Source organism: Homo sapiens, chromosome 10 (genome assembly GCF_000001405.40).
Source record: "Homo sapiens chromosome 10, GRCh38.p14 Primary Assembly".
Lineage (NCBI taxonomy): Eukaryota > Metazoa > Chordata > Mammalia > Primates > Hominidae > Homo > Homo sapiens.
In genome coordinates this window covers 113,745,477-113,758,578 of record NC_000010.11, presented here as the reverse complement: position 1 = coordinate 113,758,578, position 13,102 = coordinate 113,745,477, and the positions used below count along the sequence as shown (strand labels likewise).

The window sequence follows — 13,102 nt, the reverse complement described above, 5'->3', positions numbered from 1 at the left end:
AGGCCCTTAAGAATTATACTAAATCTACTCTACTTGTGCTCTATCAGTGCAACAACAAAGCCTGGGTGACAGCATATCTGTTTATAACATGGTTTAATGAATATTTCTAGAAGCCCACTGCAGAGACCTGCTACTTAGAAAAAAAAAGATTCCTTTCAAAATATTACTGATCATTGACAATACACCTGGTCACCCAAGAGCTCTGATGGAGATGTACAAGGAGACTAATGCTGTTTACATGCCTGCTAACACAACATCTATTCTGTAGCCCCTAGATCAAGGAGTAATTTCAACTTTTAAGTCTTATTATTTAAGAAATACATTTCATAAGGCTATAGCTGTTGTAGATCGTGATTCCTCTGATGGATCTGGGCAAAGTTAATTGAAAACCTTCTGGAAAGGATTCACCATTCTAGATGTCATAAAAATATTCATGATTCCTAGAAGGAGGTCAAAATATCAACATCAACAGGAGTCTGGAGGAAGTGGATTCCAATACTCCTCGATGACTTTGAGGGGTTCAAAACTTCCTTCAGTGGAGGAAGTCACTGCAGATGTGGTGAAAATAACAAGAGAACTAGAATTAGAAGTGAACCCTGAAGATGTGACTGAATTGCTGCAATCTCATGATCAAACTTCAACAGATGAGGAGCTGCTTCTTACGGGATATGAAAAGAAAGTGTTTTCTTGAGATGGAATCTACAGCTGGTGAACATGCTGTTTATTTTTGAAATCACAATAAAGGATTTAAAATATTACATAAACTTAGTTGATAAATCAGTGTCAGGGTTTGAGAGGATTGATTTCAATTTTGAAAGAAGTTCCACTGTGGATAAAATGTTATCAAACAGCACCACTTGCTACAGAGAAATTTTTCATGAAAGTACAATCAATCGATGTGGTCAACTTCATTGTTGTCTTATTTTAAGAAATTGCCACAGCCAGCGCATCTTCAGCAACAACCTGCCTGATTACTCAGCAGCCGTCAACATCGAGGCAAGACCCTCTGCCAGCAAAAAGATTGTGACTCACTGAAGGCTCAGATAATTGTTAGCAAATCTTAGCAATAAAATATCTTTAATTAAGGTATGCAAATTATTTACTTAGACATAATGCTATTACACACTCGACTACAGTATAGTGTACGCATAGCTTTTATGGAATCCAATAAATTCATGTGACTAGCTTTATTGTGATATTTGCTTGGTTGTATTGGCATGGAAACAAACTTGAAATATCTCTGAGGTGTGCTTGTATATGTTTCATATCAAAACTTCTATCAAATTGTACACTTTAGATATATAATAGCTTATTGTATGCCAATTACAATAAACTACAATAAAGCTATTAAAAATATGGCCAATCAGCCAACAGTGCGGTGCTCATGCCTGTAATCCCAGCACTTTGGGAGGCCAAGGCGGGTGGATCACGAGGTCAGGCGTTCAAGACCAGCCTGGCCACGATGGTGAAACCCTGTATCTACTAAAAACACACAAAAAAATGAGCCAGGCATGGTGGCAGGCGCCTCCTAGCTACTCGGGAGGCTGAGGCAGATAATTGCTTGAACCCGGGAGGCAGAGGTTGCAGTGAGTTGAGATCGCACCACTGCACTCCAGCCTGAGCGACAGAGTGAGACTCCGTCTCAAAAAAAAAAAAAAAAAAAAAGACCAATCTAAAATGTGGATCTGACCATGCCACTTCCATGCTCAAAATGCTTCAACAGTTACTTGTCATACGCGGTCAAGGTCTGGCACAATTTGGCAACACCTTTCTGCAGCCTCATCCTCTATTTTCCCTTCTCCTACCTTATAAGTATATTCTGCTTTGACACATTCTGCTTCTATACCATTTCATTGCTTTGGTCATGCCATTCCTTCTGCTGGAATGTGCTCTTTTTTCTGATTTCTTTAAAATCCCTACTCCTCCTATAGGGTCTAGCTCAAATGCCTTTCCTGTAAAACCTCTCTGGATTCTCATTACTACTTACATGCTTTTTCTTCTTCAGACTCCATAGCATTTGTACTTATTTCATGATTTCCATCACAGCCTAATCTTAATTTCCCAGCACAGTGACTTGCATGTGTTTAAGTTCTTGACAAGAATTTATTTTATTTTTTTGAGACAGAGTCTCGCTCTGTTACCCAGTCTGGAGTGCAGTGGTGCGATCTTGGCTCTCTGCAACCTCTGCCTCCCAGGTTCAAGCGGTTCTCCTGCCTCAGCCTCTTGATTAGCTGGGATTACAGGCGCACCACGCCCAGCAAATTTTTGTATTTTTAATAGAGACGAGGTTTCACCATGTTGGCCAAGCTGGCCTCAAACTCCTGATCTCAAGTGATCCACCTGCCTCAGCCTCCCACCAACAACATTTTAAAACTCTTTGAGGGCAATGACTCTTATTTATTAATCTGTATATCCCCTGCAACATAAAGCACAAAGACTCACTAGTAATAGGTGCTTTGTAAACATTTTTGAGTTGAATTGGATAATTTAACTTCTAAGTGACTTCATCCTAAACTTAGCTTTTCTATCCACTCATCTACAAAGAAGTGTATGAATAAGAGCAAGGATACTTGATACCATACATTGAGCTACCCTCATAATAAGCCCTGGTGACAATGCAGGCACTTCTCTAAGTGTGAGTTTCACGTAAAATTAAGAAAATGTTCTCCAGTCTTTGCTGGCCCATAGTTTGCTATTAACATCATCTTTGGGCAATGAATGGAAAATTTGGCTCATGAAAATCAGAAAATGCTAAACTTCTAGACAGGTAAACTCTTACACAATAATTAATTGAATCCAACAGTTCCTGCTACATTCTCCAAACCAAGAATCATTGTCACAGAATGCCACCCATTATCCCCACCTGGGTTCTGGGGCTGTACATGGTGGCTTATGCCTGTAATCTCAGCACTTTGGGAGGCTGAGAGGTGGGGAATCACCTAGGCCGGGAGTTTGAGACCAGCCTGACCAACATGGAGAAACCCCGTCTCTACTAAAAATACGAAAATTAGGCAGGCATGGTGGCATATGCCTGTAGTGCCAGCTCCTCGGGAGGCTGAGGTTAGAGGATCACTTGAGCTGGCAGGTTGCAGTGAGCTTAGATCGTGCCACTGTACTCCAGCCTACGCAACAGAGCAAGACTGTCTCAAACAAAACAAAACAAAACAACATACACAAAAACCACCAAGTTCTGTATCCTGGTTAGCTTGAAGGAAACCGTGGGGCATTTTCAATAAAAAGATTTCTGCTTCTGCGATTATACCCCTCGGGTACCTGGACTCTTCTGAGGTTTGGGTTCCATGATGGCTGTGTGTCCTCCCCTGTCAAAAGGAAGGGTTAGTGTTAGTCCCCAAACAACACTACGTGTGTTTCATTGACCAGCCACCGCTGGTCAGTGAGTATCAGGATTGTGCTCACGAATGTTGCTGAGATGGGTTGTGAGTCTCCCATTCCCATCCTTTCTTTAGTATTTCCCTCCCTGTTCCTGAGGCTGACGGTAGCTGCAGTAACGGGGACACATCTAAGCAGCTTGTCCTCACACAGTGGGTGGTTCTGCGGAGGTGTTGTTGAGAAGACTGAAGGAGCTTGTCTTCCTGGGATTTTCTCTGTTCTTACTGCTTTGATAAGAGAGCTGGCGGATGGCAACACAAAGGAGAGATAAGAACAGGGCAAAGGGCAGGATGCCATGGAGCCAACGTAGCCGAGAAAGCATCACTGGCTGAGAGGAAGCCCAAGATAAGCCTTTCTCCATGCCCAGGGGCTTGCTTTCTCCAGGGGAAACTTAAGAACAAGGACCGCCAGGCACGGTGGCTCATGCCTGTAATCCCAGCACTTTGGGAGGCTGAGGCGGGTAGATCATGAGGTCAGGAGTTCGAGACCAGCCTGACCAACATGGTGAAACCCCATCTCTACTAAAAATACAAAAATTAGCCGGGTGTGGTGGTGGGCACCTGTAATCCTAGTGCTCGCCTGTAATCCCTCAGGAGGCTGAGGTAGGAGAGTCGCTTGAACCCGGGAGGCGGAGGTTGCAGTGAGCCGAGATCACTCCACTGCACTCCAGCCTGGGCGACAGAGCAAGACTCCTGAGGATAACCTGGAGAAACTGAATCTGAGAGGCAGCATCCTTTCCTGGCCAGCTGCTGGCGATCCTATGACCATCATAGGATGGAGAGAAGGGACTCCCTCAGGGGAAGGGCTGCAGGGCAAGTGAGGTCTTTGAAACCACAAATTTGGTATGACTAACTTTTACCTTAAGTTAGTAAGACTCTCAAAATAGAAGGCCCTGAAAAGGGAGGTGCCCAAGCAGCCCCAAGTAAGATGGGGGAGGAAGCAGAGGCCCTTGACCCTCCTGACCTCTCCCTTTCTTCAACATAAACTCATTCTTCCTTCCTAACATGTAGATGACTTACAGCAATTCTTTAATTACGTGTGTGTATATGCATATACAGAGATGAAAAAATACATATATTCAGGCTGGGTGCAGTGGCTCATGCCTGTAATCCCAGTACTTTGGGAGGTTGAGGTGGGCGGATTGTTTGAGGTCAGGAATTCCAGACCAGCCTGGCCAACATGGCAAAACCCCATCTCTACTAAAAGTACAAAAATTGGCCGAGCGTGGTGGCGGGCACCTGTAATCCCAGCTACTTGGGAGGCTGAGGCAGAAGAATCACATGAACCCAGAAGGCAGAGGTAGTGAGCCGAGATCACATTACTGCACTCCAGCCTGCGTGATAGAGCAAGACTCCATCTCAAATAAAAAAAATATATAATACAAATATATATATATATGTGTTCAGAGATGAAAATCCTAAGATTAAGACAAGTTCTAAGATATGCTTTTGGTGGTTTGTCAGAGCATTTGGAAGCTCTTTGAAGACCAGTGGGATGGCTTTCCTGGACCCTGGAATCATACCTACCCTGCCCCTAGGGAAAGATTTTCTCCCTTGAGGTATCCTGTATAATCACAGTAGTGATCATTTGAACAAATTACAACTTTTCTCGGGCATCTGAAGGCATATGTTGAAGAACCGGTGCCCTTAGCCCTCGCCTGCTGTAGCGGGCACACTCAGCTCTGTGCAATGAGCTATAATGCCTGGGAAAGATGCCAAGCTATTGAGGCCGAAGGCTGTTGTTTCCTGGAAGAGCAATTCTGTGTGAGAAAGAGAACGTAACCTCTTCAAAACCTTGCCCACTCCCCAAAATGCATGGATAATATTTAAAAAATTATCCCTGAGATTTCTTATCAAATCCATGAGGTTCTTTCCAGTTTCAAGGATTTCACTGCCTGAAGAGCTGGGGACAAGCGGTTTTCAACCCATCACCTTTCCCTCTGTCCATGTTTATAGGACTTGGCCACGCCCCCTATGCAGCTGTTAGCCTAATGAGTGATGGCCCTCAAGGATCCAATCGGAGAAATGTGCAGGAGAGATTAGCTGTGGGTGGCATATTTTAAAGCAGTGTTTACTGCAAGCTGTTTTTGAGCTGCTGTTTGTCAAAAAGCCAAAAAATCATTTTAAAAAATATTTCTAAAGCCTTTAAAGTTTATAAAATGCATTTGCATACATTATTTTTTTGTGTTCAGAATGGCTTCATTCTGAGATAGCTCATTTTACAAATGAAAAGCTGCATTTGAGAGAAGACTGAGATGACTTGGACCTAGGTCCCCTGGCAGAACTCCACACAGCACCACATTCATGCTCATGGACACTCCCAAATAACATTTGCCCTCCCTGTGCCCTGTGGATGTCAAAGTGTGCTTTGGAGGACATCTCTGTCCTTCCAGTGTCTGCAAAGGGCTCCAGAGTCATGTGCTGCAACCATTCCTCCTTCATCTCCCCACCCACCGTAAAATGAGAGGACAGATAAGGCAGTAGGGTGTGGTGGTTTAGAGTGTTAGCTCTGGCATCTGGGTTTAAATTTCATCTCCATGAATTATGAGGAATGTGATCTTGGATACTTTATAATACTTCTCTACACCTCCATTTCTTCATCTGTAACATGAAGGTTATTACTACCCTCATCAGATTGCTGGGAGTATCACTTGAGATACCCTGTTGATGAGCACTCCTCAGTACATAATAGAAGCTCAATAAATGCTAGTTGTTAGGTCCTTTCCAGCTCAGATATTCTATGATTCTATGGTTGTTTAATAATGGGTAGCATTTTTTGAGTACTTAATACATTCCAGGCACTTCTAAGCAATATGTATATGAAAGATTTTATGTATATGTATACATATAATTTCACATATACATATAAAATCTCATCCTAACCTCATAACCGTACTCTAAAGCTTGCACTGTTTTCACAATGATACAATGCCCATTTACAGACGAGGAAATGGTTATCGGAGAGATTAAACAACTTTACTTTGATCATGTAATTAAAAAGAAGCAGAACCAGAATTCTAGCTTGAGAGCTGGCCTTAACTACTTTGCTTTTCCTCCTATCTAAGAAAGTAGAATTAAGTCTTTTCATAGTTCTGCTTGTTTTTCTTGTCATTGCCCCCAAACAAAAAAGAAAGCCTTTCTGATTTAGCTGTTTGATCTCATTCAGGAGAATCTCCCCACAGTCACTGCCTGACCCATTTATTATAACATTATTTTGGATTTGGTGAATACAGTATACCAAGAGGTCAGTCCTATTTCCCTCTGACTATAGTATAGCCTAGGAAGCTTATGAAGAAAGTGCCCATAACAGAAATACAGCATATCTGCAAAATTTTCCATTTCCAATTTTGCAATTGTTCAATTGCAAAAAAGCTTCTAGATCATCCCAGCCTTGGAAGTCCAAACCAGATACACCAAGCAGTACTTACTGGAAGCCAAGAGGTCGCTGGTCCAGTGCTCAGGAAAGTGCCTTGTCCCGAGGATTCCTGAACTCACTCCTGCTGACTCTGAGCCTTGGTGCCTGGGTGAGGATTAAGCACAAACTCTGCTTGAAATCTGAACCACCAGGAAGTTCCCAAACTAATATCCTTGAGCAGATTTTATTCTTGCCCCAAACTGAAATGGAAGCTATGCCCTCAGGGGAAGTTCTGGGCCTTCATACTTGTGGCTTGCCACAGAACTCTCCTTGGTGTCCCAGCTGCCTAGCACCAAAAATGAAAGCAAACACATTAATAATAAAAAAAAATTCCTGCCAGACTTTGGACCATGGTCACAATAACCCTTATTGAGAACAACGCCAATTTACCCTCAACCGTCTGTGGTGACTACCATTGAAAAAAAATCCCTATGCCTCCCTCAGCCATATCTTAACCAATGTCTTCCTGGGAAGGGTAGAAAGGGTTCCTTTGTACCAGATGAGGAAACAAAAGCCTGGCTTCTCTAAACACTTGTACATGCCAATGGTTTCCAGGAAGAGTTGCTCATTCAGCCATGACAGAGTGTTACCATCAACAGGGTGGCGCTAGGCATGTTCCCCTGCACAGCCACCAACAGCAATTGAGCAAACCATCATTCTTAGACCTGGTGAGTGGTATCCAGCCACCAAAGGGTCTTAGGTATATTTTCATGTGTATTACAGATTTCTAGGGGAGAGGAAGAAGTGATGATGAATTTTATCCTGTTCTACTGCCTTTAGAAGTAAAAGTACATCATTTGAATCCTCATCCTCACGAGGGTAGCTGGTCTGGAATCAGCTCTGCCATGGATCCATTGTGTGGTCTTGGCAAGTTAACTGGAGTTCTCTGAGTCTGTTTCCTCATCTGCAAAATGGAACAGATAATACTGACTTCACAGGATTTTTTTTTAAAGTTAAGTAAAATTTCACATATAAAAAGCATCTAGCACAGTGCTTTATCCACAGTTAGCATTCAACAGAGGGTATTTCTTTGTTTTTCTCTTTTGCATCCTATGGAGGGTAGATGTTATTGGTTTCTTCATTTAGCAAACCTAGCTGGACTTCAGGCATACAGAAATTATTGATATATTGTTTGCTTCCTGCACAGGACCAGTTTTGCTTGATTTAGGAAAAACAATTTCTTAATTTTGATATAGTTTGGATGTCCCCTCCAAATCTCATGTTGAGATGTAATCCCCAGTGATGGAGGTGGAGTCTGGCTGGAGGTGTTGGGTCCTGGGGGTGGATCCCTCATGGCTTGGTTCTGTGTCTGAGATAGTGAGTTGTACTGAGGTCTTTATTTAAAAGTGTGTGGCATCTCCCCCAACTCTACTGCTCCCACTCCCACCAGGTGACATGGCTACTCCCGCCTCACCTTCCACCATGCGTAAAAGAAAGCCCCCTGAGGTCTTCTCAGAAGCTGAGAGATGCCAGGACTATGCTTCCTGTACAGCTTGCAGAACCATGGGCCAATTAAACCTCTTTTCTTTATAAATTATCAAATCTCAGGTATTTCTTTATAACAAGACAGAGATAGACCTAACAGAATTTCCTGGATGTTCTTTTGGGCTAACTTTTGATAATTCTGGAGATAGTCTTAATGTCTTTACATTAGAATTTTAATCAGATACCAGTTGTAGCTCTAAGTAGTTCATAAAAAGCTTGTGCTGATTTCCACTTACTTGGGAACTATAAAGTCCAGACAGCCTATTGTTATAATATAGAGACCTAACCAAAAAGGGGAAGAGGGAAAATTACTGTAAGACTTGTGTTCCTTTGGAAAGGATACCGATGAAACAGTTAGATGTGCTTTCCATCAGCAACCTGTTCATCTGTCTGTCCCTCCACCTACCCACCCATCCAACCCACCCTATTCTAGGCTTTTTTGTATTATTTTTCCAATAGTATTACAAAACTCTTTGGAGGAAGAAGCCTAACAAAGCTATTTGTACTGTAGATAAACCCATGAAATATAAACTGAAAAGCAAACAAAAACTGGCACAGACACCAAATACTAAACTTGCAAAACAAACATACCTATGAAACACAAGCATAGGTTTTTTTTTTTTTTTTTTTTTTTTGAGACGGAGTCTAGCTCTGTCGCCCAGGCTGGAGTGCAGTGGCGCGATCTCGGCTCACTGCAAGCTCCGCCTCCCGGGTTCACGCCATTCTCCTGCCTCAGCCTCCCGAGTAGCTGGGACTACAGGCGCCCGCTACCACGCCCGGCTAATTTTTTGTATTTTTAGCAGAGACGGGGTTTCACCGTGTTAGCCAGGATGGTCTCGATCTCCTGACCTCGTGATCCGCCCGCCTCGGCCTCCCAAAGTGCTGGGATTACAGGCGTGAGCCACCGCGCCCGGCCAAGCATAGGTTTTTAAAAGTTGTTTCCAATGACCTGTAAACAAGGTATCAATTACCTGTCACAAAAAGCAATCGCCTGTTCATCTGAAATATCAGATGAGTTATTCCATGACTTTGTTAATTGCGCTTTCCTGTCATGAAGATGCTCTTGAGTTCTGCTGCCTCTTAACCAAAACACAACCGAACAGTTTATATGGCATGGCAATACCTACTACTTATTGGGGATTTTTGTTTTACATAGAATATCTCATTTAATTCTACCTTGTTGCAGGATAAAATCTATTAATCCTAATTTTAAAAGAGGAAATTTAAATTTAGAGAGATTAAATAACTAGCTAAGGATCATGCAGCTAGTAAGTGACACACAGAAATCAGACTGGTCTGTCTTGACTCCGAAGCCTGTGTGTGTTCTTTCATATGCTACACTATGTGAGTCCTGGGCTGAGATCAGTTGGCCTCGGGTCTCGGCCTACTCTGACTGTGTGACATTGCGTAGATTGCCAGATATTGGGCCTCATAATCCCATTACTGTCCTTCCCCAAAGAGCTCTAAGTACCCATTCATCTCTGATTATGATTATGCCTTTGAATCAAAGTCAAGGGCTTATTAGCGTGCAGGCCATTTCACTCCATGCTGCGTGCTCATTGTCCATGTGGATAGTAAATGTGTCTTTGTCAGTGACACCGGTAAAGGAGTGACATCAATGACATCACTTCAAAGCATCCTTACTATACCTCTTCTCTGGAACAAAGAATTCAAGGAAAGCAAGGAGAAAGCTGTACACAGAACAAAGTAATAACAAAGGTATCTTTTAGATTATATTAAAAATGGTATCAAACCAAGACCTATTTTCTATCATCTGTTTGGTAGTAGTCTGAATCATCTGATGTTTGTAAAGAGAAAGGAACTGATGATATAAAGCATTTTGTATAATTTTATATGGTTCTCTTCCATGACTGATTTTGGAAATTGCTCTATAGTTAGGATTGCTTTTGGCTCTTAAAAAAACCCAAAACTCAACAATAGTGGCTTATAATTTATTTATCATACATCATGCAAGAAGTCTGGAGTGAAGCATTTCCAGACTTATTTTGACGATTCAGTGATGTTAGAACTAAGGTTATGTGTCTGATTTTCTTGGCCTTTTCCATATGGTCAGAAGTTGGCTGCCATAAGCATCATGTTTCCACAACACACTATCTCAAGCAGCAGGGAAGTGTTGGGGGAAAATGAGCATTCTCCTTATGTGCTTTTCACTTCAGGGAGAAAAATTCCTCCTACAAGGCCTGAATAAGACTTTCTCTTACATCTGATTGGATTGGTCAGCTATTACCTCAAGAAGACCAGTCATTGGCCAAGAGGAAATGAGATTTCATTGGCTTGCATCAATCATGATAATTTCCCTTGCCGTCTGAACAAAATTGGGGTTCTGCTAGCCAAGAAGATGGACCATGACTGTTACAGACATTATCATCCCTCTCTCCCTCCATCGTCCCCTGCCTCCCCTCAAGATTGTTTCCAAGAACTCTTACTCCTGGTCTCTGCACGCTAAGCACCTTGGCCTTTGTACATGCTGCTCCCTCTCTCTGGCCCACTCTTCTCCTGTTTCTTCCACTGGCTAACTACTACACATCCTTCAGCTCTCACTCCAACATCACTTCTCAGTGATTCCTTCTCTCCCCAGACAAGGCCAGATTCTTTATGACACATTATCATGGTGCAATGTTAACCTCAGTACACATTTTGCCATTTGTAATTTTAGATGCATTTGTCTGATTATTTGGTTAATGTCTGTCTCTTCCTCCACAAGACTGTATAATCCATTAGTACTGTGTCTGTTTCTTCTGACCAGTGTATCCCCAGTAGCTAGCTTAAATGCCTATCCATTCTTTATTTATTTACAGTGTGCCTACTATATGCCAGATGTTATAGATAATAGAAAAATGGAAAGATTAGTGTTTTTTGAGAGCTCATAATTTGACCAGGGAGATCCAGAGAAAACTAACTTTAATACTCCATTGGTAATCCCTCCTACTTCACTGTTGTACCTCACTTTTTAAATTTAATTTCATTTTTTTATACTTTAAGTTCTAGGGTACATGTGCACAATGTGCAGTTTTGTTACATATGTATGCATGTGCCATGTTGGTGTGCTGCACCTGTTAACTCATCATTTACATTAGGTATTTCTCCTAATGCTATCCCTCCCCCCTCCCCCCACCCCACGACAGGCCCTGGTGTGTGATGTTCCCCACCCTGTGTCCAAGTGTTCTCATTGTTCAATTCTTATGATTACACTCTGGACCTTGGAACTACCCATTCTTGCATGAACTTCGATAACTTTGACTGGGGTGCTCCACTTTCCAACTGCAATCTCCCTTCCTTCTATGCTTTACATTTCTTCACTTCAGCCTCTCCAAGACCTCAAGATTCTGGACCCTTCCTCGTTCTTTCAGTATGTCTGCTGAGATCAGTGTCCATTAGCAGCTGAAACTGCCACTCTCTCAACTGCCTGCAAAAGGAAATAAGCTGGGTTGAACTTTGCACAAGAATAACTACTGATGGGATCAGGGTGAGCACCTTACCCTAGGACTGCCCCTCTATTGGCTGGCTTTTGACCCAGGGAGAGGCCTGACACAAAGAACTTTGCTCAGAAGAGGCAATGGCAGCGAGCCAACCCTTGCTGAAATTTTCTCTTCTCTTTGCTTCCAAGTTACTCTCTCACTTGGTTCTCACTATACTGATCTATTTCTTTGTTTTGTTTGCTGGGTTTTCTACCAGCATGCAATCTTTACTTTTTGGAGTCCCCAGAGTTCCTTCCTTAGATACTGTATTTCCTTACTTTGCAAGTATTTCTCAATGCTGGAAATAGTGTGGGTCCATTGAGGTTGGTGACCGTAAATTTGGCAAGAGTCCTGATGTGTGATTTCCTCCAGTGGCCTTCAGCTGTTCAGGAGCAGGCATGGGGGAGCCAGGGCCTGGGGTTCATTTCAGCTTAGCATTTTTGCTAGGAAAATGCCACAGAAGGAAGGCAGCAAGGGAGTTTAGCATACTTGCTGAAGAATGCTCAAAATGTTGACTCATGGAATCAGAGGGTCATAAGGAGGAAATAACTAAGGAGATAAAGAGATAAAGGAGATAGGAGGAGATTCTTGGGGACGGGCATCCTGGGTAGTGATTCCTGGTGAGATGTGCCGTCAAAGACAGATGGTACAAGCTGACTGAAGGATAGGAAGTAGTGCTTGGAGAGAATATGCTTGATCGATCTTAAAATAGAGAAATTGCAAGGCGCAGGTAGCTTAGCTATGTAGCGTAGAAGGTCATTGGTGACGAGGAGGTCAAGGAACTGAGGGGCTAAAGTGTTTGGCCATCCACATGGTTGTCCAGTTGATGGAGCAAAGTCCTTTTAAAGTTCTCTAAACATTTTAAAAACATGAGAAACGGAATAAAGGTAATTAACTCTACCTGCTTCCCCCAATACACACACATACCAGTGTCTATTTTTGTATTTAGATTCATTTGTTAGAGCAAAAGCAGATGTAGATGCCAAAAGAGGACTTCGAGATCCACAGAAGATTGAAGTCAGAATCTTCCTTATTTAAAGAGAACACCTGGGTCCAGTTTCTGGGGATTAGGGAATGTATACAGGTGATAGAGGATGGCCCAAAGATTTCGGACTGGGAGTCAGCCAATGAGACCACCACTGGGGCAGAGGGAGGGATGATGAGTTCTTCCTCTTTTTTCTTTCCTTTCTTTCCCATTATGGCCCTGAATCTTAGTAGGTCCAACTTGCTTGGCACTGGGCCAAAAGGGTCAGTGTTGGTAAGGAAGGGGTGGCAGTGCAGTCGAAGAAAAAGTGGAGTAGGAAGGAAACCCCCAAATTGATGGTCCTGTGCAG

The 13,102-nt window shown here is 42.7% G+C and overlaps 1 protein-coding gene across 11 annotated transcripts in view; it reads right to left on the bottom strand.

The window, feature by feature from the left end:
- PLEKHS1 (pleckstrin homology domain containing S1) overlaps positions 1-6,897 on the bottom strand; it is a 31,748-nt gene extending 24,851 nt beyond the window's left edge. For 7 of the 11 annotated variants that reach the window (NM_001395068.1, NM_024889.5, XM_005270163.3 and 4 more), the window contains exons 1-2: positions 6,818-6,897; positions 3,274-3,320 (exon numbers count right to left, since the gene is read on the bottom strand). In NM_001395068.1, the coding sequence (NP_001381997.1) occupies positions 3,274-3,301 (28 nt within the window). In that variant the 5' untranslated portion in view covers positions 3,302-3,320; positions 6,818-6,897. Of the gene's footprint in view, positions 1-3,173; positions 3,321-6,817 lie in introns of all 11 variants that reach the window. The other 4 variants (NM_001193434.2, NM_001193435.2, XM_011540175.2 and 1 more) reach the window with 1 other exon arrangement.
- Positions 6,898-13,102: the final 6,205 nt, after the last annotated feature.